The sequence below is a fragment of the Homo sapiens genome, chromosome 13 (genome assembly GCF_000001405.40).
Source record: "Homo sapiens chromosome 13, GRCh38.p14 Primary Assembly".
NCBI lineage: Eukaryota > Metazoa > Chordata > Mammalia > Primates > Hominidae > Homo > Homo sapiens.
In genome coordinates this window covers 113531229-113554770 of record NC_000013.11, presented here as the reverse complement: position 1 = coordinate 113554770, position 23542 = coordinate 113531229, and the positions used below count along the sequence as shown (strand labels likewise).

The 23542-nt window shown below is 52.0% G+C and overlaps 1 protein-coding gene across 26 annotated transcripts in view, besides 4 other annotated features; it reads right to left on the bottom strand.

The window, feature by feature from the left end:
- Positions 2536-3037: an enhancer, noted in NCBI's record as "H3K4me1 hESC enhancer chr13:114206049-114206550 (GRCh37/hg19 assembly coordinates)". NCBI's record gives its function as "activates a minimal SCP1, AML or CMV promoter by ChIP-STARR-seq in naive H9 embryonic stem cells {active_cell/tissue: H9 hESC(naive)}" and the evidence as "EXISTENCE:reporter gene assay evidence [ECO:0000049][PMID:30033119]".
- SLC9D1 (solute carrier family 9 member D1) overlaps positions 4542-23542 on the bottom strand; it is a 59209-nt gene continuing 40208 nt past the window's right edge. For 10 of the 26 annotated variants that reach the window (NM_017905.6, NM_001349746.2, NM_001349742.2 and 7 more), the window contains 5 exons: positions 20531-20726; positions 15264-15414; positions 7392-7471; positions 6319-6468; positions 4542-5346 (listed from right to left, as the gene is read on the bottom strand). In NM_017905.6, coding sequence (NP_060375.4) covers positions 5233-5346; positions 6319-6468; positions 7392-7471; positions 15264-15414; positions 20531-20726 — 691 coding nt within the window. In that variant the 3' untranslated portion in view covers positions 4542-5232. Of the gene's footprint in view, positions 5347-6318; positions 6469-7391; positions 7472-15263; positions 15415-16181; positions 18251-19479; positions 23431-23542 lie in introns of those variants that run through there. The other 16 variants (NM_001349744.2, NM_001349745.2, XM_047430399.1 and 13 more) reach the window with 10 other exon arrangements.
- Positions 8084-8827: an enhancer, noted in NCBI's record as "H3K27ac-H3K4me1 hESC enhancer chr13:114200259-114201002 (GRCh37/hg19 assembly coordinates)". NCBI's record gives its function as "activates a minimal SCP1, AML or CMV promoter by ChIP-STARR-seq in naive H9 embryonic stem cells {active_cell/tissue: H9 hESC(naive)}" and the evidence as "EXISTENCE:reporter gene assay evidence [ECO:0000049][PMID:30033119]".
- Positions 12627-13826: an enhancer, noted in NCBI's record as "CDK7 strongly-dependent group 2 enhancer chr13:114195260-114196459 (GRCh37/hg19 assembly coordinates)". NCBI's record gives its function as "activates an origin of replication core promoter dependent on BRD2, BRD4, P300/CBP, MED14 and CDK7 cofactors, with strong dependence on CDK7, by STARR-seq in HCT116 cells {active_cell/tissue: HCT116}" and the evidence as "EXISTENCE:reporter gene assay evidence [ECO:0000049][PMID:35650434]".
- Positions 16133-16321: a silencer, noted in NCBI's record as "fragment chr13:114192765-114192953 (GRCh37/hg19 assembly coordinates)". NCBI's record gives its function as "represses an EF-1alpha promoter that drives an FKBP-Casp9 reporter gene in an ReSE screen in HepG2 liver carcinoma cells {active_cell/tissue: HepG2}" and the evidence as "EXISTENCE:reporter gene assay evidence [ECO:0000049][PMID:32094911]".

Sequence of the window (23542 nt, the reverse complement as noted above, 5' to 3'; positions counted from 1 at the left end):
CAGGAGAATCGCTTGATCCCGGGAGGCGGAGGTTGCAGTGAGCCGAGATCGCACCATCACATTCCAGCCTGGGTGACTGAGCGAGACCCCATCTCAAAAAAACGAACAAACAACAACAAAAAACCAAAGTGTTGACGATGACCGATCGATTGATTGGAAAGAGGAAACCCAAGCCCAATGGCTTTGTTCTTTTTTATTTTACTTTTGTTTTCTTTTCTACAGGAAGGAGGCTTTGTTCTTGCAAATGTAGGGGGAGCATTCCGGCCCAGGGGAAGCTCAGTGAGTAGCGGGTGTGGATTTGCCCTGCCGGACTTGGATGCATGGCGTGGCACAATTGTTTATTCTCCTTAATTAAATTTTGGCTGTGAGTTCCCATCTACCTGGCCAGAAATTTAACCCCAATCATTTTTATGGGTGTCTCTCCTGCTCTCAGAATCAAACCAGAACATTCTGGAGAGAACCTCCAGTCTTCAGGCCCCTGTGGGGGAACCTAGGTGGTGTGGGGCCAGGTGTCCACACCCCAGTGCAGAAACGGATGTCGGTTCCCCTTCCATGTCCCATGGGAACCTCTGGCACAGCTCCCTGGCAGTGGGTCAGGGTCCTCTCCCCAGGCCCTCATGACGCCCAGAGGACCCGCCCCTCACTGAGAAGCCCCACCCTCGGCCGACCCCTCAATCCTTTGAACACTCCATCTCTTTTGCTACTTAAACCAAAGCCAAAAAGACGCCCCATCACCCTCCCCCGGGCGAGGGAAGGCAGAGGTCACAGGACACAAACCTGTCGCTGCTCTCAGGAGAAGCATCCTCCTTCCTTCTGGAAGGGATTGGAAAATGAGACCAGCCTCTCTGTCCAGTCCCCTGGCAGTGGGTTCAGCTTTCCATGGCCAGCCTGAGAGCTTCCAGGTGACTTGCTGGAGGGGGAGGAGCCCAGAGGTTTCCCTGCTGAGCTGTGAAAGGGCTTCCTGAGGGCGCTGAGAGATTGAGCAAAAGGCAGACAGGGAGGAAGGGGAAACACTGGGTGCCCAGGGGGATAGCATCTGTACATCTCAGGCCCTGGAGGGCTGGGCCTCACGGTGACATGAGCATGTGTGGCTGCAACCCCGGAGTCCTGGACGGAGGTGAAGGCACCCAGGATGAAAGGACTCAGGTGGGGTGGGCTTCGCACGGACCCCTAAACTCCAGAAGATTAGCAGGGACATAGGCAAGGCACTGGAATCACACAGGAGAAGAGTCCCTGGGAAGCTGGCAGCAGCAGTGTTATTTGAAGGACACCACAGTCATGGTGTGAGCTCTGCACTGGAGGAGCGCCCCGTCCCGGGCACAGGCCGTGCTGAAGAATGAGGAGCATCACAGACTCGGGGACTCAGGCATGTTTGTCTGTTCTCACGCCTTCCCCAAGACTGGGTAATTTATAAAGGAAACAGGTTTAATTGACTTGCAGTTCTCCATGGCTGGGGAGACCTCAGGAAACACAATCACGGCAGAAGGGGAAGCAGACACATCCTTATTCACAAGGCAGCAGGATGGAGAAGCGAGAGCGCGAGAACAAACTGCCACTTTTAAAACCGTCAGACCTTGTGAGAACTCACTATCATGAGAACAGCCTGGGGGACATCTGCCCCCATGATCCAATCACCTCCCTCGGTCAACCCATGACGATTACAATTCAAAATGAGATTTGGGTGGGGACACAGCCAAACCATATCATCAGGGAAGTATGGGGTGGGGAAGCCAGGAGAGGAGAAGGCAGCAGGGAGGAACAGGGAGACTCACGCGGCCCACCAGGAACTCAGGGACGCGGCTCCAGGCCACGGCCATGTCCTTGCGGTGCACTGCAGGGCACCAAGGGTGGGCACTGCCTAGTCCTGTGGGGATGAGCACGTGGTTACAGGAATGGGCTGAACTGAAGGAATTATAAAGAAAACCAAAATGGGTTTCAAAATTTTTTCTTTAAAATATCTCCATGCAGTTTTTATAAGTTCCCATGACATTAATAAAAGTATTGTAAGTTTCATTCATACAAAAAATACATATGAACTGCCTATTATGTATTATGTACCAGTGTTAGGATTTTTTTATCCAAATATTTTTCCCAGTTTTGCTTGGCTTTCAAATTTGTTCACGATGCTTTCTGATATGCTGAAATTTTACATTTTCATGTGAAATAGAATTTTCAAATAGTACAATTTCTTTCATTGTTCAATATCCCAAGAACCTTTAAGTATCCTGTTTATAAATATTCAATTGACCCATGTTTACGGTCTAGCCTCGCAGTGCTGCCGTGTGGGCCTGTGGGTCTCCCCCCAAGCTCTTACTTTCCCGGGGCCTGTCCGAGTTGAGCTGGGTGCTGTCCGAGTCGAGCTGGGTGTTGTTGGGTAATACAGCTCTGCATGGGCAGACGGGAGGCAGCTTTTGGGCAGCGGGGAAAGGACACAGAAGCAGAAATATCAAAGAAGAAATAAAACTGGCCTTGCAGACACAGAGGCCTCGCTGGTTGAGAATGGCTGGTTTTGGGGGGAGTGTGAAGGCCGTGTAAGCTCATGGCTGGAGCTCGAGACAGGAGACTGGACCACCCAGGTCAGTGCTCTGGGGACACATGGCCCAGGCACTCCCTGCTGCCAGCTGTTGTTCAGGTTGTTATCGAGGCCGCCAACACCCCCTCAGCCTCAAGCATTCAGGTTGGAAGCTCACTTCCATAAGCCTGGTCTCAGATGTTGATCCGGTAGGATTTCACCGTAACCTGATGACAATTTTCAAATTTAAGATGAAGATGTCATGATCAGGCTGGTTAGCCTCCAGCAAACATGTCCCCACAAGACTCACCATGAGTCCGTCCTCCCACTTCTTTCTAGTGACATGCTACACACTGGGGAAATGCTGAGAGCAGGGTGGGGGCAATGTGGCTACCAGGGGCTCGGTGGCTCGGAGACCCCCATCTGGATGACAGGGGCAGACATGATGGGGATGGGATGGGGAGGGTGAAGCTTTCTGGAAGGTCTGGATGAAAGAGGAGTCATGAGGTCAAGAAAGGGTTCTGCTGGGTCAGCATGGGACAAACGGGCAGGTCACAGATGAGGAAGTCACTAGCAGAGAGGTGGGGGTGAAAACGGGAGTGACGGGTTCACAGAGCCAGGTCCTGTGGCTGGAGTGGGGCAGGTGGGCCCAGCTGGGGCTTTGAGGACACCGTTCCTGGGCAGTTAGGATCTTACCTGAGTGATCAGTTAGGCAGAGACCCTAGCATGCTTTCTCTCGTCATTCAGGGCACTTCTTATTTCATCTTGCAGAGAGAGGCTAATTTCGTGTTTTGGGGGGAGTTTGATGTTACTCTCATCAAGTCGGTTTCCTTCAGTTTAACAAAATTAAAAAGATGGTCACAGGTGTTGGAGACAAAAAAAAAGTCACCCTGTTGCAGAGACTCCACTGTATCCTGAATGCCTGGATGGGGAGAAGGCGCGTGCACAGGGAAGATGGAGTGTCACAGGCGTGGCAAAGCAGCACAGGGACACAGTGATAGGCCAGTCAGCCTCAGGCAGACAGGCCACACCCAGAACGCTTCACATGCACCTGGCAACATCTCATATATCATCACGAGTGGAGGAGAAAACGGCACTAGACCATTTGGGCTCATTTAGAAATGAAAAACCAAAGATATTTTCTAAACATAAACATGTTGGTATCATTTCTCCATTAATCTGCTTCAGACTAGATACAACTTACTTCAAAATGTTTTAATTTATACTACTGCAATCGATAATTTATGTGTGCAATACATAATTACACCTGCCATTTTTACCTTCTCTATCTCAAGTATTTTGGTCAAATTGTTAGGCTCTTAAAGCTGACAGGTATACGAAAACCCTGGCTTAAAGTACTTGCTATGTTGTACACAATAAATATGTTGACTTTTATCTGTCAATTAAAAAAATTCATGCAGTTGAAAAAGCCTAATACGGTACCTGCTACGGTTCAAATGCTTCTGTCCCCTCGATGTGCACTGCAAGCGTTGGGAGGTGAGGCCTGCAGGGAGGTGTTTAGGTCAGGAGGAATCTGCCCTCGTGAATCAATGCTGCCACACAAAGGGGACTGGGGAGTGGTTGGCTCTCCTGCTCTTCTACCACGTTAGCACCCAGCCTTCCTCCCTCTGGAGGACCCAGCGTTCCAGGCACCATCCCGGAAGCAGAGAGCAGGCCTGACCTGCCAGCACCTCCATCTTGTTGTCCCCAGCCTCCAGAATTTCGAGAGATAAGTTTGTGTTCTTTGTAAATGACCCAGTTTCAGGCATTCTATTACAGCAGCACAAAACAGATGAGCACAATGCCTCTTAGGGAAGTCCTTGTGAGGCTCAGATCCTCACCTGTGTGGTTTTCTAAACTGGGGCACATAATCACCAAAATAGATATTTAAATATCAAAAGTTAGAACTTATCAATTAACACTGCATTAATTTGGTGTCTTGGAGAATAGCATGTTAATATAGAAATCATCTTAGTAAAAAAAAAAATTGGCTGGAATTTTGTATAAAGATAAGCTCAATACAAAAAAATTAATAAAAACAGATTTTAATAAATTTCAATTAATTATACCATGATCATAAATTATCTTTATTAAAGAATACATATTCTTGTGATTTAAAACCAAATATTTTAAGTGATATATCTAATAGAAATTGACATGAAATTATTTCATTTAAAAGTTACAATAAAAGGCAAATAGACATCCGTATTTGTCTCATTTTAGAAAACATAGGCTTTAAGAATCAAAAGTAAGCTTCCAAGCTCACGGCCAGGATTACAACTTCATATTACAGAAATGTTTAATAACAAATATTTGACTAACAGATTATAATTCTGAAGTTGTACATTTTTAAAAGCCTTTTAATTTTGCTTCTTTACTAAAAAAACTATGAACTGATGAACTCACAATAGAAAATTAATAATAATTTCAGGGAAAAAAAAAAAAGGCACATCCAGGCACCACATTCAAGGTGATCGGTAAAACGCAGTGTCCCGGGTCTACTGCACATAATCAACAGACTGCAAATAAACTACTCCGGAAAATTCTAAAATAGGACAAGAATATTCTGTAAAAGCCGGGATAACACGACTGCACTGACGCTCTGCTAGAGGGCTGTTCTGTTGCCAAGGTGCGAGCTTCCCAGAAGGAGCAGCTGCTGGCCATCTAAGCGCTCACTCCCCACAGACGCTTCCCTTCCACGGTCCATCATCTCCGAGCCATCAGAGGCTGGACCGTCTCTCCGGTCTGGGCACACACCTCGTGATTGCAGCTCTCCACAGCACCGGGGCGAGCAAGAGGCTGAGCGTGGTCACACTCAGTATAAGGAGGTACACCTGCAACAGCAAAGTGCAGAGCGGGTCACAGAGACTGTCAGGACTAGCACCTGCAACAGGAAAGCACAGGGCTGGTCTCACTGAGCTGGGAGGGACGCCTGCAAAGCTAGAGTCCTGAGGCTGAGCACAGTCACGCTGAGTGCTGGGAGGGATGCCTGCACGGGGGGGTGGGGGATGGAAGCTAAGCGCGGTCATGCCGAGTGCTGGGAGGGACGCCTGCACATCATAAATTCACTACTATCTCTTTAAAGCACATGGAAGTACAGCCAGAAGCTGAGGACATTGGGATGTAGGAGAGACTGTGATTTCAAGATCAGTGATGCATGGTTAGTCCTGATGGGCCACAGGATAACAGCTTTAGCCTGTGTTTGCCTGAAGGCCAACCCCGGGCCACAGTAACAAGCCAGCCTGCCCCACAGCTTCCCTGACCCTGGGGATGCGGCCTTGGGTCAGGCCTCAGGTGGAGCTTCCTGTAAGCAATTCTACCTTTCAGCAATTACTTCCACTGCACTCAACACCTGGACTTCTACCCGCCTCACACTTACACAATGCAAGGAGACAAGGCCGTGAGTCCGAATGCCCAGGGCCATCTCAGTGTCCACAGGAACCTCCACCCAGCTCTCCGGGCACACTGCCATTACGGGTATTTCACGTTTCTGGGGTGCTACTTATGTGCACACTGGCAGTTCAGCTTTAAAAAGTTAGTTTTCTTTCAGAAGAAATATCTGACATTTAATTAGACTTGTTGTAAAAGGTTAATGCAATAGTTCAAGCAGTACTAACTGCAACTTTCCTCTGAAAACGCCACATGCTGGATGAGCAGAGAGCAGCCAGGCCTCTGCGTGCCCCCCTGGAGGAGGACCCTGCCCCCAGGCCCCGCTGTGCTGCCGAGCCGCCTTCGCCACACCCGACTCAAACCCAGAGTGCAGCCCGTGCCGCCCGAGAAGCGCTCCGCGGGGGGAAGCCACTCACCTCCCGAGAGATGACGCCCGCTCTTCGCGCCCGGCTCCCCAGGACAAAGGAAAACTCGCTGACCTGGGCAAGCCCCGCAGAGACGATCCACTTGATGTACTGGCTGCTCCTCGGCAGAATGAGAGACAGGACCAGCGCCGCCAGGAGAAACTGCAAGAGCGGTTCATTACGTCACTGCTGAAGACTGGACCCACACAGAGTTAAACACACACGAAACAGAGAACCCAGACGAGCCACAGGCACGCTGCGATGGTCCCTGAATAACACGTCAAGTAGGGAAAGGCACAGAAGCACTCCAAACACCCGAAGGCACCAAATACACGCAAAACCTCTTAAATAATCCACACTGAACAATAAGGCAAAATTAAGCCTTTCGGTTCATTAGCAGAAAATAATAAGCCTTGCCCAAGCCCCCCCGCCCCCGCCCCAACCAAACTAGATTAATAGCATTAAGCGTGGGGTACTCAAGGTGGAAATTTCTTTTTAATACAGAGAGATGTGTGTCTCTGGGCCGAGCAGCTAAGAGCTGGTGGTGTGTCTTTGGGCCGAGTAGCTAAGAGCTGGTGGAGTGGTCCAACGATCATCACAGCTTCTGGCTCCTTAAAACGGAAATGACCTAAGTCACTGTCTATGAGCCAGAAAGCCACTGGTTGCTGACTAGGTCATCACACCTTCAATTAAATGTGGACACAGGCAGCTCGATCACTGGCAGTCACGGGGGACAGACAGAAAGTGCCTACACCATTTTCCAGTCTTTAAAAAGCATGTCTGCATCTGTCAGAGGAGGACGGGCTGGACTGCAGCCAAGGCCCGTCCTGAGGGTCCCAAAAGGTTAGTTCCCCCCTTTAAACACGCTCAATTCTGAAACAATCGATCACATGGACAAACCCAGACCGCCCAGCCTCGTCTACATCTGCCTCCCCCGGGGTCCAGTGGCCCAGTGGGCCTCCTCCGAGATGAGGAGCAGGGCCGGCTCTGCAGGCCCGATGTGGGCCCCACTGGAAACCAGGGCCACAGGGAGGGCTATGCTGAGCCTGCAAACTGCGAGGGGCGTGGACCCTTCCAGTCCATACCTTCATCACCACCACTGACAAGGTGAGGAACACCAGCACCGTGAGCTCGTACGCCACAAACGTGGGGAACACGTGGAGCCCTGTTGGGAACAGGACAGACACGTTACGACCGCAGGACAGCCTCCCCCAGCGCACACTATTTCTCACAACTTCAGTGTGTCACTTGCTTCAATACAGGAATTAAAATCCTAAATCCTCCCAAGTGCACGTGTGAAAGCAACAGCAAATGCTAAAAAGCCGCCCCTTTCCTGAGCGAACCGGGGAAAAGCCTGCCCTGGGATGACCTGTCTGATGTGGTGGGATCCCAGCTCCACTCCCTGCAACAGGCCTCAACTGCAGAGGACACAGCAAAACACACAGAGGCGGCACTCGGTCTGGCACTCCTTCAGGAAATATTCCAGCTGAGGTGCAGATGATCCCAGAGCCCACAGCCCCACAGTGCCCAGGAGTGCCCAGGAGTGCCACGCTCACAGGACGCCTGTGGTCAATGTTCCTTTCCTTCCTTTATTTGGCTCACACATTTTTAAAAACAATGGGAAACGTTGTCTCCACATATTTCTTCTCTCTGCTCTCAGGACTCTCGGACTGGGCTGCTCAGTCCTGCTGTGCTGCCGAGTGACGCAGAGGGGCCGGCGGTGCTGGGGCTGGACCTGAGCTTGGGCTCAGCTCTCCAGCCACAGCCTGGAGCTGCCCAGTGATGCATGTCAGCCCTCGGAGGAAGCCCGGCAGCCCAGAGGCCTCCTCTTGATCGGAAGGACCCAGACCCCAGGGTTAGGTGCACGGAGCAGGCCCATGACCTTTCTGCCGTTCACAAACCACTGTCTCTACCTGACCCAGAAACACAAATGTAAACACTGGCCTTTTTTCTCTTGCCACGACCCGGGGTTCTCTTGCGCTTGAGGGCTGCCTTCTCTGGCCACCCAGTCTTCTAGCCACGGCCCCTCCTCCTGGGTCTGGGTCTCAGAGCTGCCCCCTCCATGCCCACTCCCAGTGCTCCCCACGGCCCCTCCTACCCCGGCCACCAGCCTGGCCCCACTGTGTCCCCCTCATCAGCCCCAGCCCCACGGCGGCCTGGGGTCCACCTCCCTCTCTCCCCAGCTGTCAGCTGAGCCCCGGCCCCAGTCCTGCTTCCCCTCAGGATGTCTGTGCCTCTGCCCTGCTGCAATGCCCGGTCCAGGCTGCCTTTGGCCACACTGGTGTCTAGGAAGTCACTACCGTCACGGCCCTATGTCCACGCCGGCACAACTGAGACAAGCTCACAACAGTGTATGGCACAGGGGACGCTCCCACCTCTCCCCAAAGGGGGCCTCACATCGCGGCCACACAGGTACCCAGGGCTCCCCACCTTGGGCGTTCCGGGCTGCGTTTTCTCCCCGCTGCTGCCCGGTGGAAAGCCTCCCCTTCATCTCCAGCCCCACTGGCTTCCTTCCTGCTTGGGAATGTCCTGTTCCAGAGATTCCAGGCTTCCTTCCCATCTCCTACCTCTGGACTTTTCCACAAGCCTCTCTTCCTCCCCAGCACGCCCTGAGCCTCCACCTCTGCACCTGGTGGCATCCCTCACCCCGGCCAGTCGCTGATGCCCCGGAGGCTCCTGTGCTCTCAGCTGAGCTGGACAGCTGTGTCCCTGCATCTGCCCCCCACCCAACCCTGGGCTGCAAGCTCCTTCAAGGCAGGGCTGCCCTGGGGACATGGCTCACTCCACCCCTGCCTGAGCTCAGTGCAAGCTCCTTCAAGGCAGGGCTGCCCTGGGAACATGGCTCACTCCACCCCTGCCTGAGCTAAGAGTTCCTGGCCCTGGGGGCGGAGTGGGGGTGGGGGGAGTGAGCCAATAATTATGGAGCCTAATGCATTCCAGTCAGTCCCAGAAACAGCAATGAAAATGAGAGACAGGAAACCTCCCTTCAATTTCTTTAATGAGCTATGCTGACTTTTCTATGCAGGGTCATTTATTCTCAAAACAAACATCAAACCTATACTTGGTGTAGCACTGAGAAACTATGTGGGCTCTGGGCTCAAGTCTTGGGTTCCTGGGCCCCACCGGCTCCACAGCACCCAGGAGCACCACATTCACTGTGGACCCAGCTCGATGTTTCAATCTCTGTGTGCCTCAGTTTCCTCATCTGTGAATGTGGATTTGGAGGCTGAGTAAAGGAAATTTGCCATGTGAGGTATGTGCCTGGTTCAGGGCTGCTAAGGACGCTGCCTGCACAGGCACCAGGCCATGGCGTGAAGGTGAGCGAGGCTGGCGGGGGCGCACACCTGCATCCACCAGGGAGGGACGCCCAACAGCAAGGCAGCTCCCAGCACTGTCCCAGAGCCAGCTGCCTGCTTCTGAATGCGGGGAACATGAGAAGAGGATGAAATCCTTGCTGTAAATTTCACAAGACACACCCAATGACTGACATTGTCGATAAAGCTGGAGTGACTAGGAATTAGGGAGCTGGGCAGGCATCTTCCACAAAGGCCAAGATGGAAAACACTTCGTGCTTTATGGACGAACACCTGCTGTGGACTGAGCTGTGTCCTGCGAACTCCTACGTTCAGGCTCCAGCCCCAGTGTGGCTGTATCTGGAGACAGGGTCTGCGGGAGCTACTTAAGGCAAAATGAGGCCACATGCGTGAGAACCTAATCTCTCCGCGCAGGCCATGGCGGCTGAGCCACGGATGACACAGCCAGGAGGCACCATCTGTGGAGCAGGCATGGCCCTCGCCAGACACCTGGATCTTGGACTTCCAGCCCCCACAACGGTGAGAGATAATCATCTACTGTTTGAGTGCCCGGTCTGGAGGATTTTGTTGATGGCCCGAGCTAATAAGTAGCCCAACAGCGGCTGCTGATAAAGAGTAAATGAGCAAGCGTGGCTGTTTCCATAGAGCTGCATTTACAAAGGCAGGTGGTGAGCAGGCCTTGGGCCGCAGCTGGCGAACCCTCATCTAGTGGGAAGACCACCTGCTCCGAAACCTGGGCCGGAGCCACACTGCCACGTGCCGTCCACGAGACCCCGACCTTGCTCTGTGGTGCCTTCTGGGCCATCCTTCGGCGCAGCAGCCCTTCCTCACTCAGGGCCTAAAGATTGCCCTGCCCCTTTCACACCCTTCAGATGCAGCCTCGACTCAGAAGCACAGCCTGGGCCTCACCCAGCGGGCACGAGCCTCGGGGCGGGAACCTGAGAGCGACGCCTGCCAGCCTGCAGGTGGCTGTGGCTGTGGCTGTGGCTGACCTGCAGAGGAGTCTCTGCGGCTGCACCGGGCAGGCAGCCCGGACACATCTGTTGGAACTGGGAGCTCCACCCGGGTTTCTGCCGCCCTGAAGTGGATATCGGGTCCCACGCACAGAGGCAAAGGTGCCGTCTGAAGCGGGCAGATGCCGTCTACGTGCTGCCTGGACTCCAGAACAAAAATAAGGTCCTGGCCGAGTTAGAGAAAAAAGTGAGCTATAAACAAGTTCTCAGATGGCAGAAAAATTAACTTGAATTCCCTGATATACTCAGTACCAAAAACTAGAGCAAAAACACGTAGAATGATGTGAATAGAAAGGGTTCTCAACATAAAAGAACTCTAGTTTGAAGACAAGGCAAGCATGTCTGTGTAAATCACATATTTATGAAATTTTAGATTTTTAACAGGAGCTCTCAGACATGCACACTCAACAAAGCCCCGGCGGACAAGACACCAGGTCACACGCCACGGCCAGGGCAGCCTGGGGCTGGAGCAATGTGGGAAAAATCAGGTCAGGCCTGATCCATTTTATTAGTCCTCGTCTAAAAGAAGTGAAAGGAAGATCAGGAAATCAGTTTATTTAGCTTGCTGAGGAGGAGTCACCAGGAGCGAGGTTGGGGGCACGGGGGGAGGAAGTGGGGGTCACACACAGATGGAGGGCGGGGGGAGGGGGAGGAGGTGGGGGTCATGGGCAGGGGGAGGAGGTGGGGGTCATGGGCAGGGGGAGGGCAGGGGGAGGAGGTGGGGGTCATGGACAGAGGGAGGGCAGGGGGAGGAGGTGGGGTCACGGACAGGGAGGGCGGGGGGCAGGGGGAGGAAGTGGAGTCACCCACAGAGGGAGGGCGGGGGCAGGGGGAGGAGGTGGGGGTCACGGACAGAGTGGGGGCAGGGAGAGGAGGTGGGGGTAACACACAGGGAGGGTAGGGGCGCAGGGGGAGGAGGTGGTCACGGACAGAGGGAGGGCGAGGGGCAGGGGGAGGAGGTGGGGTCCGGACAGAGGTAGGGCGGGGGGCACGGGGAGGAGGTGGTCACGGACAGGGAGGGCTGGGGGCAGGGGGAGGAGGTGGGGGTCACAGACAGAGGTAGGGCGGGAGGCAGGGGGAGGAGGTGGGGGTCACACACACGGAGGGCCGGGGGTGCAGAGCAAGGGGATCAAATGGCAGCCGAGAGGCTCTCCCGGGACACACTGACTCGTGAGGCTGCATTGGGGTCAGGAGGTCACGAAGCCCCTGCTGAATGGTCCTATTTCACCTGCGACAAGGGGCCCAAGCCTCCCAACTCTGTGCTGCTTTCAGGACTGCCTCGGCTATTTATGGCCTTCAAATTTCCACATAAAATTCAGAATCAGCTTTTGAATTTTCCGTTTGGTTGAGGTTGTGCTGAGTCTGTGGCCCCTGTAAAGCACAGGGCATCTCAGACCCTGTGCTGAGTGGACAGCTGCCAGGGATGTGGCCCGACACCAGATCCCTTGTGATTCCACCCTCTCAAATCACTACTCCAGGCTGCTCCACAGACCCTGACAAGGGAGATTTCCAGAGCGGCCCATCTCACTGTGCTCAGTTTAAACTTTCTGTGTCAAAGTTAGTATTTCCTCCAAATTTGCCACTGACATGTTAGTTTCTGTGGCTGACCCTGAGCTCCCACCACTTGCCCTGTGTGGGCACCAGTGCCTGTGATGAGGAGGTGATGAGAATAACACGCATTCTCCCCTGAAGGTGATCTGGCCGCTTTCAATGCCCACTGAGAGCACACATCTCGGCGGTAATAAAGCATGGCAGTGATCAGCGACCGTGTGCGTATCATCCACACATCTCGGCGGTAATAAAGCATGGCAGTGATCAGCGACCGTGTGCGTATCATCCACACATCTCGGCGGTAATAAAGCATGGCAGTGATCAGCGACCGTGTGCGTATCATCCACACATCTCGGCGGTAATAAAGCATGGCAGTGATCAGCGACCGTGTGCGTATCATCCACACATCTCGGCGGTAATAAAGCATGGCAGTGATCAGCGACCGTGTGCGTATCATCCACACATCTCGGCGGTAATAAAGCATGGCAGTGATCAGCGACCGTGTGCGTATCATCCACACATCTCGGCGGTAATAAAGCATGGCAGTGATCAGCGACCGTGTGCGTATCATCCACACATCTCGGCGGTAATAAAGCATGGCAGTGATCAGCGACCGTGTGCGTATCATCCACACATCTCGGCGGTAATAAAGCATGGCAGTGATCAGCGATCGTGTGCGTATCATCCACACATCTCGGCGGTAATAAAGCATGGCAGTGATCAGCGATCGTGTGCGTATCATCCACACATCTCGGCGGTAATAAAGCATGGCAGTGATCAGCGATCGTGTGCGTATCATCCACACATCTCGGCGGTAATAAAGCATGGCAGTGATCAGCGATCGTGTGCGTATCATCCACACATCTCGGCGGTAATAAAGCATGGCAGTGATCAGCGATCGTGTGCGTATCATCCACACATCTCGGCGGTAATAAAGCATGGCAGTGATCAGCAATCGTGTGCGTATCATCCACACATCTGGACGGTAATAAAGCATGGCAGTCATCAGCAATCGTGTGCATGGCACCCACACAACTCAGCGGTAATAAAGCATGGCAGTGATCAGCAATCGTGTGCGTATCATCCACACATCTCGGCGGTAATAAAGCATGGCAGTGATCAGCGATCGTGTGCGTATCATCCACATATCTCGGCGGTATTAAAGCATGGCAGTGATCAGCGATCGTGTGCGTATCATCCACACATCTGGGCAGTAATAAAGCATGGCAGTGATCAGCAATCGTGTGCATGGCATCCACACAACTCAGCGGTAATAAAGCATGGCAGTGATCAGCAATCGTGTGCGTATCATCCACACATCTCGGCGGTAATAAAGCATGGCAGTGATCAGCAATCGTGTGCGTGGCATAATCTTCCTCCTGCAGAATAAAGAGCCCCAACAGCCAAAGCAACTCCAAGAAAAGGAACAAAGCTGGAGGCACCGGAGGCCACCTGACTCCAAACTCTAGCACAGGCTACAGCAACCAGAACAGTATGGCACTGGCACAGAAACACACAAGCCATCGGGACAGGCAGAAGACCTAGAAATCAGGCCGCACACCCACAGCCATCAGCTCTTCCACAAAGCCTACGATAACAAGCACCAGGGAAAGGACTCCCCACTCAACAAACAGTGCTGGGATCGCTGGCCAGCCACATGCAGAAAACTGAAACCGGACCCCCTCCTGACACCACATACAAAAATCAAGTCAAGGTGTAACAAAAACTTAAATGTAAAGCCGAACCCTGTAAAATCCCTGTAAGAAAACCTCTGAACGTTGGCCTTGGCAAAGGTTTCATGAAGAAGACTACAAACGCAATCGCAACGGTAACAAACTGACAAGTGAGACCAAGTGAGCCAAGGAGCTTCCGCCCAGCAAAGCAGCTCTCAGCAGGGCAGACAGCCTACGAATGCGAGAGAATACTTGCAAACTATGGACCTGACAAAGGTCTTATATCTATAATCTATCAGGAACTTAAACAAATCTGCAAGCAAAAAGCAGCCCCATTAGGAAATAGGGAAGGACAGGAACAGACCCTTCTCAAAAGACATTCACACGGCCAACACAACACGTATGTGGAAACAATGCTCAACATCACTGGTCATTAGAGAAACGCAAATCAAAACCACAATGAGATACCATCTCACACCAGTCAGAATGGCGATTCTAAAAAGTCAAAAGGCAACAGACGCTGGCGAGGTTGTGGAGAAACGGCAACACTTAGACACCATTGGTAGGACAGTAAATTAGTTTAGCCGCGATGGAAAGTCTGGAGATTTCTCAAATAACTGCAAACAGAATTACCATTCGACCCAGCAATCCCACTGCTGAGTTTGCGCCCAAAGGAACATACGTCCTTCTGCCATAAAGACACACGCACTCACACGTTCATCACCGCGCCATTCACAGCAGCAAAGACACAGAATCGGCCCAGATTGTGAATTCCAAGGATCCCACTGTCCATCAACCGTGGACCAGATAAAGAAAATGTGGTACATATACATCAGGGAATGTTACGCAACCGTAACAGAATGAAATCACGTCCTTTGCAGCAACACGGATGCAGCTGGAGGCCGTTCTCCTCAGGGAATTAACACCAGAACAGAGCACCAGATACCACATGTTCTCACTTACAAGTGGGAGCTCAACACCGAGTACACGTGGACACAAAGACGGGAGCAAGAGACACTGGGGCCTGGGCAAGGTGGAGGCTGGGAGGAGGAGGGTGAGGATTAAAACACTGCCGAGGGTCCTATGCTTATTACCTGGGTGGCAAAATCATCTGTACACCAAAGCCCTGTGACACTCACTACCCGTGTCACAGACCCACACACGTACCCTGAGCCTAAAGGAAAAGCTGGACAGAAGAAACAGTATAATAAAATAAGATTTCTCTGCGCTCTATAAAGCAGAAAACAGTTTCTGGCTACTAGCAATCCAAATTGAAATATGCTGAATACACTTAATTTTTAAGATAACCATTTTTGCTATATAAATATATATGCACGTAAACATATTACAGAACCACTCTGCATACGTTTAACCAACACAATCATAATGTAAAGAAGGAAGATTACCTATGGAGGCGAAGAAAACGATGGCCAGGAAGTCGCGGATGGGTTCGATGGAGGTGGCGATCTCCTCGGTGACCACGGGGCCCTGAGAGGAGACGAGCGCTCCAGCCAGGAAACAGCCCAGCTCCATGGAGACGTCCAGCAGCTCCGTGACCTGAGAGAGGCAGGACGCAGCTTTACATGAGACCCCACAGTGCACCAGGGTCACCCCCATCCCAAGGCCACCCCGAGACCCAGCAGAGCCACCACGACAAAACACAGAAGCTGCACAAACAGAGCGTGTGTGTGTCTGGTCCTGGGTCGTCTGCTGGGTCTGAGAGGTGACATGTGGAGGCTGCTATTAGTTGAATTAACCTTACTGGGAGAAAAAAATTGTTTAAAAATATTTGAAACAAATATCCATACAGATTGCGCTGAAATTTTTGAATGAGAATATTTTCCAACTGTTTTAAATATTTGTGATACATTTTCTTGACCTTGAATCAGAATAGCCCGGTGGGAGTGTTAGAAACGCATTCCCACTACCAGCCTCAAAGCAGAGAGAAAGCGACAGGACGACAAGCAACAGCCCCGGGAGGGCACGAAGCCAGCGAGAAGCATCGGCGTGTCCACGGCGGCTGATCTGATACCCAGGTTTGCAGCCACATCAGCGCGCCGGCCGGACGGCCGCGACACGGGAGCCTCAGCGCAGCTCTGCGAAACGCAGGCTTATGGCAGCCTTCCGGATGACGCACGGCTGACACCGGCCAACCTGAAAGATGATTTTTATCTTGAGAAAACAAAACTGTAGACGATAGCAGCATCAGACGAAAAGAAAAGAAACTTGTAAAGAACTACGATTTATAATGGCAACAAAAACATCACATCCTGAGGATTCAACCCAAAAGAAGGCCTGCACCTGACACTGCAAGACACAGAGACCCACGAAAGACGGAAGACTCAGATGACAGCGCCAAGGGCTCAGCACGGCGGAGCGGCGGATGCTCCCTCCCCTGGCCAACAGACGCACAGGAGCGCCAAGAGACTCATGTGTGTGAAACTGACCAGCTGAATCTAAAAACTCGAGTGGAATTTGGAAAGAGCACGAATAGAGCCAAGACGACCCTAGCACAGAACAAAGCTGGACCCAAACACGGAGATCAAGCTGCGGTGCAGCCGAGGGCAGGTGGGCAGAGTCAGAGGGGCATGTGCACACACACACACACGCACATGTGCCACGGGTACACACACCACACACAAAGCAGACACACACGAACACATACCACACACACACCACACAAAGCACATATGTATGCATGCACACATGCCACACACACGTACACAAACCACACACCACATAAAGTACACATTCATGCATGTACACATGCCACACCAAAGCACACACATGCATGCACAAACACATACATGCACATGTAACATTCCACACAAGGCAAACGAATGCATGCACATGTACACACATCACATAAAGCATACCCCACACATGTACACATGCCACAAAGCACACACATGTACACACACCACAAAGCATACATGTACACACCACAAAGCACACACATGCATGCACACAGGTACACATGCCATGCACAAAGAACACACACATGCACATGCACGCACACACACACGGCTACTTGGTTTTTGACAGGGTGATGCTATAGAAGGGGGGAAGGAGGTCTTTTCAACGCATGGCATTCAGAAACGCATGTGAATGAATGAATCCTCATCCACTCCCTCACTTCCAACACAACCGAAGCTCACCTCTGGGTGGACTGAAGATCTAATGAGAAAAGCACAGCAGAACGCTCACTGACAACAGTAAAGAGCATCTTCACGACCCAGGGGCAGGCGGATCTTTCACACAGAACACAGAAGATAGCCACGAAGAAAACAATTCATAAGCGATGATGCTGAAATTAAGAACTTCTGTTCATCAAAAGACACCGTTAAGAGAGTGAAAAGGCGAGTCACAAACTGCAAGACATTTGCAAAAACATATCTGACATGCTGGAATGGAATGTTTTTCAGCCATAAAAAGGGGCGAAGTGCTGGTGCGCACGGCGACGCGGCCAGGCCTGGAGGACGTGGTGCTAAGTGGAAGCCAGACACGGAAGCCGCCACGCGACACGGCCAGAAGCAGCGGCCCACGGGGCCAGGAAGTGGCTCCATGGCCTCGAGGAGCTGGGGGGAGAACTGAGCGCCATGGGGATTCCTTTGGGGAGGTGGATATAATTGGGTAGTGGTGATGGTGGCAAAACATTTTGAAGGCTGACTTTCAAATGATTAAAATGGCGAATTTTATGTGAATTTCATCTCAGTAAATAAATTTTTAAGAAGGACAAAAAAATCTGCCGGCATATAAAAAATAATTCCTACAAATGAGAAGAGAATCCTCACCCTACAGAATAACGACCTGGAGGCTTTAATAGGAACACCGCCAGGACAACACCCAGGTGCCACTGAGCTTTGGAAAGGGCTTGAGGGACCAGCCATCGGGAAGTGGACGCTGGAGCCCCCATCAGAGCCCTGAGATGCTCCACTCCTGGAGCAAGTGCAAGGAGGCTGTGGGGCACGGCGTGCTCACGGCACAGCAGCAGGACGGGCTGGCATGGCGACTTTGGGGAAACCCACGTCATGGCTACGGCTGAGCTCCTGTTTACTGTGGCCCTGCAACCCTACCTCCACAGGCACTCTACTAGGCTCATCAGCAGTGAAAGCACCTTCCAGAAACACGAGAATGGGCAGCAGCTCTAAATGGAAACGAATCCTAAGACTGAACAGTGGAAAGAATACATTGTGGCATCGGGTGCAGATGTGCAGAAGGCCCAGCACCCCAAGCAGCTGGCAGCAGGTGCACGGTGAGGGCTGCCCAGAGAGCGAGAAAACCTGAGAGCCGGGCAGAGTCACTGTAATGGAAGAAGCCACTGGGAGGGCAACACGGAAGTTGTCCAGATAAGACAATTCTGCTGGGAGTTATTTTCAAAGAGAAAAATACTCTGGAATGGATAAAACAATGTAAGAATTTAAATAAGTCACACTCTTGAAATAGTTAAAATCACTACAACCAGAAGCAAATCATAATTTCCTCCCAGGTTTACAAAACATTAGCAGGCAATTATATATAAGAAACAATTTTTGTTAATTTACTTTTTTTAAATGGAAACTTTTTTTTTTTTGAGGCAGTCTTGCTCTATCAACTCTGCCTCTGCCTCCTGGGTTCAAGTGATTCTCTTGCCTCAGCCTCCCAAGTGTCTGGGACTGCAGGCAGGCGCCACCATGCCCAGGTAATTTTTGTATTTTTGGTAGAGACGGGGTTTCACCATGTTGGCCAAGCTGGTCTCGAACTCCTGACCTCAGAAGATCTACCCACCTCGGCCTCCCAAAGTGCTGCGATTACAGGCGTGAGCCACCGCGCCCAGCCGGAAACTTTTTATTTTGAGATAATTATATATTAACCTGCAGTTTTAAGAGTAATACAAAGTCCTCATTACCCTTTAGTTTCCCCAATGGTAACATCTTGCCAAATTACAGCACAAGATCCCACTCAGGTGCTGATACGGACACAGCAAAGACAGCGAGTGCCATCCATCCCCAGTCCCTCCCCAGACCCCGACTCAGGTGCCGATATAGACACAGCAAACACAGCGAATGCCATCCCCATCCCCTCCCCAGACCCCCACTCAGGTGCCGATACAGACACAGCGAAGACAGCGAGTGCCATCCCCAGCCCCTCCCCAGACTGCCCATCCTCAATTCCTGGGAACCACGAGCCTTTCCTCAACTTCAGAATCTTCTCGCCTCATAAATGTGACATAAAAAGAACCACACAGTACGCAGCCTTTGGGGGCTGCCTGCCCACTCTGCGCAGTTCTCGGAGGTGTGTGCCGGTGGTTTTACTGCTGGGTGGCGTTCCGTGGTATGGACATAGCTCAGTTTGTTGAACATTTATTTACCCACTGAAGTACCTTTGGACTGTTTATGGCTAATACGAATAAAGCTGCTATAAACACCTGTGTACAGGCTACTGTGTGAACACGGCTTCATTTCTCTGGGATAAACAGCAGGAAGAGCACCTGCCGGGCTGAACAGTGACGGTGCACAGGTGCACTGTTGGGACAATGGTGACGGTGCCCAGGTGCGCTGTCAGGACTACTGAGACTCTATGGGGGTCCAGGAGCATCTCCCGCCACTCTCATGTAAAGACTGTCGTCTCGGTAAGCAGAAGCCCACTTTCCAAAATGAACTTTATTTTTTAACCTTTCACATGGCAGAACTTATACAGTTAATTAGCTTGTGAGCAACACAGTTAAAAACTGTTTTTCCAAACTTAATTTTGTATTTCAGGTGCAAAGCTATTTGAAAATTTAAGACAGAGTAGCATGGTTTGATATTAGTGTTTATGGCGCTTTTTATCATCACAGTTTTGTTTGTTTTGATATGGGGTCTTGCTCTGTCGCCCAGGCTGGAGTGCAGTGGCACGATCTTGGCTCACTGCAAGCTCCGCCTCCCGCGTTCACGCCATTCTCCTGCCTCAGCCTCCTGAGTAGCTGGGACTACAGGCGCCCGCCACCACACCCAGCTAATTTTTTTTGTACTTTTAGTAGAGACGGGGTTTCATCATGTTAGCCAGGATGGTCTCGATCTCCTGACCTTGTGATCCACCCGCCTCAGCCTCCCAAAGTGCTGGGATGACAGGCGTGAGCCACCACACCCGGCCGTTTTTTTTTGATATGGGGTCTTGCTCTGTCACCCAGGCTAGAGTGCAGTGGTGCGACCACAGCTCCCTGCAGCCTTGGCCTCCTGGGCTCAAGCCATCCTCCCAGCTCAGTCTCTCCAGCAGCTGGTCTATACATGAGCGCGACCACGCCCCAGCTGGTTTTTCTATTTTTTGTAGCAGAGGGGTTCTCACTCTGTTGTCCTGGCTGCTCCCAAACTTCTGAGCTCAAGTGATTCTCCTGCCTCAGCTTCCCCACATGCTAGGACTACAGGTGTGAGCCACTATACCCGGCCCACGGATTTGTTTTTAATGAAATACTCACAAACACTATTTTAGCAAAGTGCTTAAGAGTATGAGTCAAACCAGTTAAACGGGTTTAGCTCCCTGTATTATATTTTGATGGGTAGTATAAGAAAGTGTGTATAAAATAAAAAATACTAGTAAATGTTTCAAATATTTTAACCATTATTAAAATGGAAAGGTAAAGAATGGATCACAAGATTTCAGTGAAAGAGATTATGTATCAGATTACATAAATAACACATAGTTTGAGAATTACCGTTAACATTAAGAAGATAAAGGCAGATATTCCCAAGATCAGGATTTCTTTGTTCCCCTTGCTTTCCATGTGCAGCTTCCGATAATAGGGTCCAATGAGATACTTCTTTATAACAAGACATAAAAGAAAAACCGCCGCTAGTGAAAAAAGAATCTGACCAATCAAAACCAGGATTCGGAGAACTTCCACGACAATGCTGGGAAAGAAAAAAGAGACGTGATTTCACTTCCAAAACACAGTTCTCTAAAACTCAATAAAATAATCTTTCAGTTTTTTTCTTTAACATGCTACAAAATAAATTACCTGAATCATACACATCTTTATTTTCAAATACAAAAACACCTATGAATCATACTCATCTCAGAAATTAAGTTGTGTTGAGCCAAAGGTGGAAGCTGCATTGGTTTGCAGTCAATACTCTGGGGTGAATGCGTATTCTAGAATGTGAAAATTCTCGACTGACAGCGTTCCTATCTCAGCTGATGCCTGACGATAAAATTCCTCGCCAGGCCTCAGCCGCACATCAAAGTCTCCGCCAGGCAGCGGTTGCTCTCCGTGCCCCACCGCAGTCGCCTGATGGACGAACTCCAGCGACCGTCAGCAAGGCACTCCCGAGGCAGCCAGCTCTGAGGTCTGTGTCTGTGATTCAGACACAGAGAAAGTGATCCTTTGCTATGTTCTGTTTAGAATATACTACCCAGATCTCAGAATAGATCACCATCTCAGCCAGCGGACATCCACTATCTGCCGTCTTCACAAATATACCTATATTTAACCTTAGCCTTCCACCACTCAGGCCACAATTCTGGTGAAAGTTTCCTCGGTGGAGGAAACCTATGATTCCCAAGGGCGTCAGCCTCTGCAGTCTGGCTTAAAGCAGAAGTGCTGGAAACGCAAATCTCAAACTGCCATGATTCCTTCGGGGAACCACAGCAGAGCTGGGCTTGAAGCAGAGAGGGATGGAATGAAGGGATGGAATGAAGGGATGGAATGAAGGGATCAACAACGGCCACAGAAGCAGCTGTGAAGGAGCATCATTCAGAGCTCGCTGCAGGGCCCACGTCTGCAACTTCAGGAGGGAGGCAGCGTCCTTCAGAGCTCGCTGCAGGGCCCACGTCTGCGACTTCAGTAGGAGGGAGGCAGCGTCCTTCAGAGCTCGCTGCAGGGCCCACGTCTGCGACTTCAGGAGGGAGGCAGCGTCCTTCAGAGCTCGCTGCAGGGCCCACGTCTGCGACTTCAGGAGGGAGGCAGCGTCCTTCAGAGCTCGCTGCAGGGCCCACGTCTGCGACTTCAGGAGGGAGGCAGCGTCCTTCAGAGCTCGCTGCAGGGCCCACGTCTGCGACTTCAGTAGGAGGGAGGCAGCGTCCTTCAGAGCTCGCTGCAGGGCCCACGTCTGCGACTTCAGGAGGGAGGCAGCGTCCTTCAGAGCTCGCTGCAGGGCCCACGTCTGCGACTTAGAAGGAGGGAGGCAGCGTCCTTCAGAGCTCACTGCAGGGCCCAAGTCCGCGACTCAGAGAGAGGCCCCTTTCTGCAGCCCTGGCAGGAACGGAGACAGACTCACGGCCAAGCAGACCAGGCCTGCCGCACTCCTGACAGCTTTGCCACACTGCCAGGCCCACGTCTGGCCCTGGGCCCAGCACCGTGGTCCCTGCCTGGGCTGCCACCCCTTCCCCCACAGCTCCAGTGGCCTCCTCCTGATCCATCTGCTCTCCACACAGAGGCCCAGACAGCTCATCAGGACCCTCAATCAGCTCCTGGACGCTGGGATGGAACCCAGGCTTCTCTGCCCTGCCATGCCCTTCCACTGCCCCAGCCCACCCACACAGGCCACAGAGCCCCTTGCCTGGGAGGTCCCTACCCTAGACTCTTCTCCCAACAGGCTTAGCTGCATTCCTCAAATTCCAGCCACATCTCCAAAGGTAGAGCCTGTGCGTCTGGGGGCTCACGGCTGCTCACCAGCTCCTCTTCCTGTTTGAATCATTCGCAGGGCGGTTCCCTGCTGCGGATGTCTTGTCTACCACTCATTTGTGCATCATTCATTCATTGCCTCTCCAAAACACAACAGCAGCTCCCCACATGGGGAACGTCCTCTGCTGAGCTCACCCTTGCATCCTGAGCCCCTAGAGCACTGTGTGCAGAGCACTGTGTGCCACCTATTATGGCAGCCTGGTAAGAGCTGTACGATCCCCACTGCTACGTCACAGATGAGAACAGGGGCAGAGACCAGGTGATCTGCTCCAGGCCACACGCCCAGTGCAGAGAGCTGGGGACAACTCAGGTATCTGGCTCCAGGACCAAGCCCCTAACGGCTACACAAGCTCTCCACAGCCACCATCCCCAGGGTTTGGATTTAGGTCTAATTCCCAGAAGACTCCCACAGTGTCCATTAAATGCACAGTGATGAGGGCTCAGAAAGATGCCAATCAGAAGCCACAGTGCGCTCAACTCTGACCTCTTTGAAAGACAATCACCGTGACAAGTTTCTCAGGATTCCGGCTTGCCGCCGTGCCACCGGCAGGTCCACGTGCGTGCTGCTCTTGATCTGCATGTACGGGGCGCCGTGTCACCTGCAGGTCCACACGCGTGCTGCTCTTGATCTGCACGTACGGGGCGCCGTGCCACCTGCAGGTCCACACGCGTGTGCTGCTCTTGATCTGCATGTACGGGGTGCCGTGCCACCTGCAGGTCCACGCGTGTGCTGCTCTTGATCTGCACGTACGGGGCGCCGTGTCACCTGCAGGTCCACACGCATGCTGCTCTTGATCTGTATGTACAGGGCGCCGTGCCACCTGCAGGTCCACGCGTGTGCTGCTCTTGATCTGCACATACGGGGCGCCGTGTCCACGGCTGTTCTGACTGTCTCAGCGTGTTTGGACAAGCTTCCCATCAGCACATCTGACCTGCGGACAGGTGAGTGGACAAGCTTCCCATCAGCACGTCTGGCCCGCGGACAGGTGAGTGGACAAGCTTCCCATCAGCATGTCTGGCCAGCGGACAGGTGAGGAAGGGCTC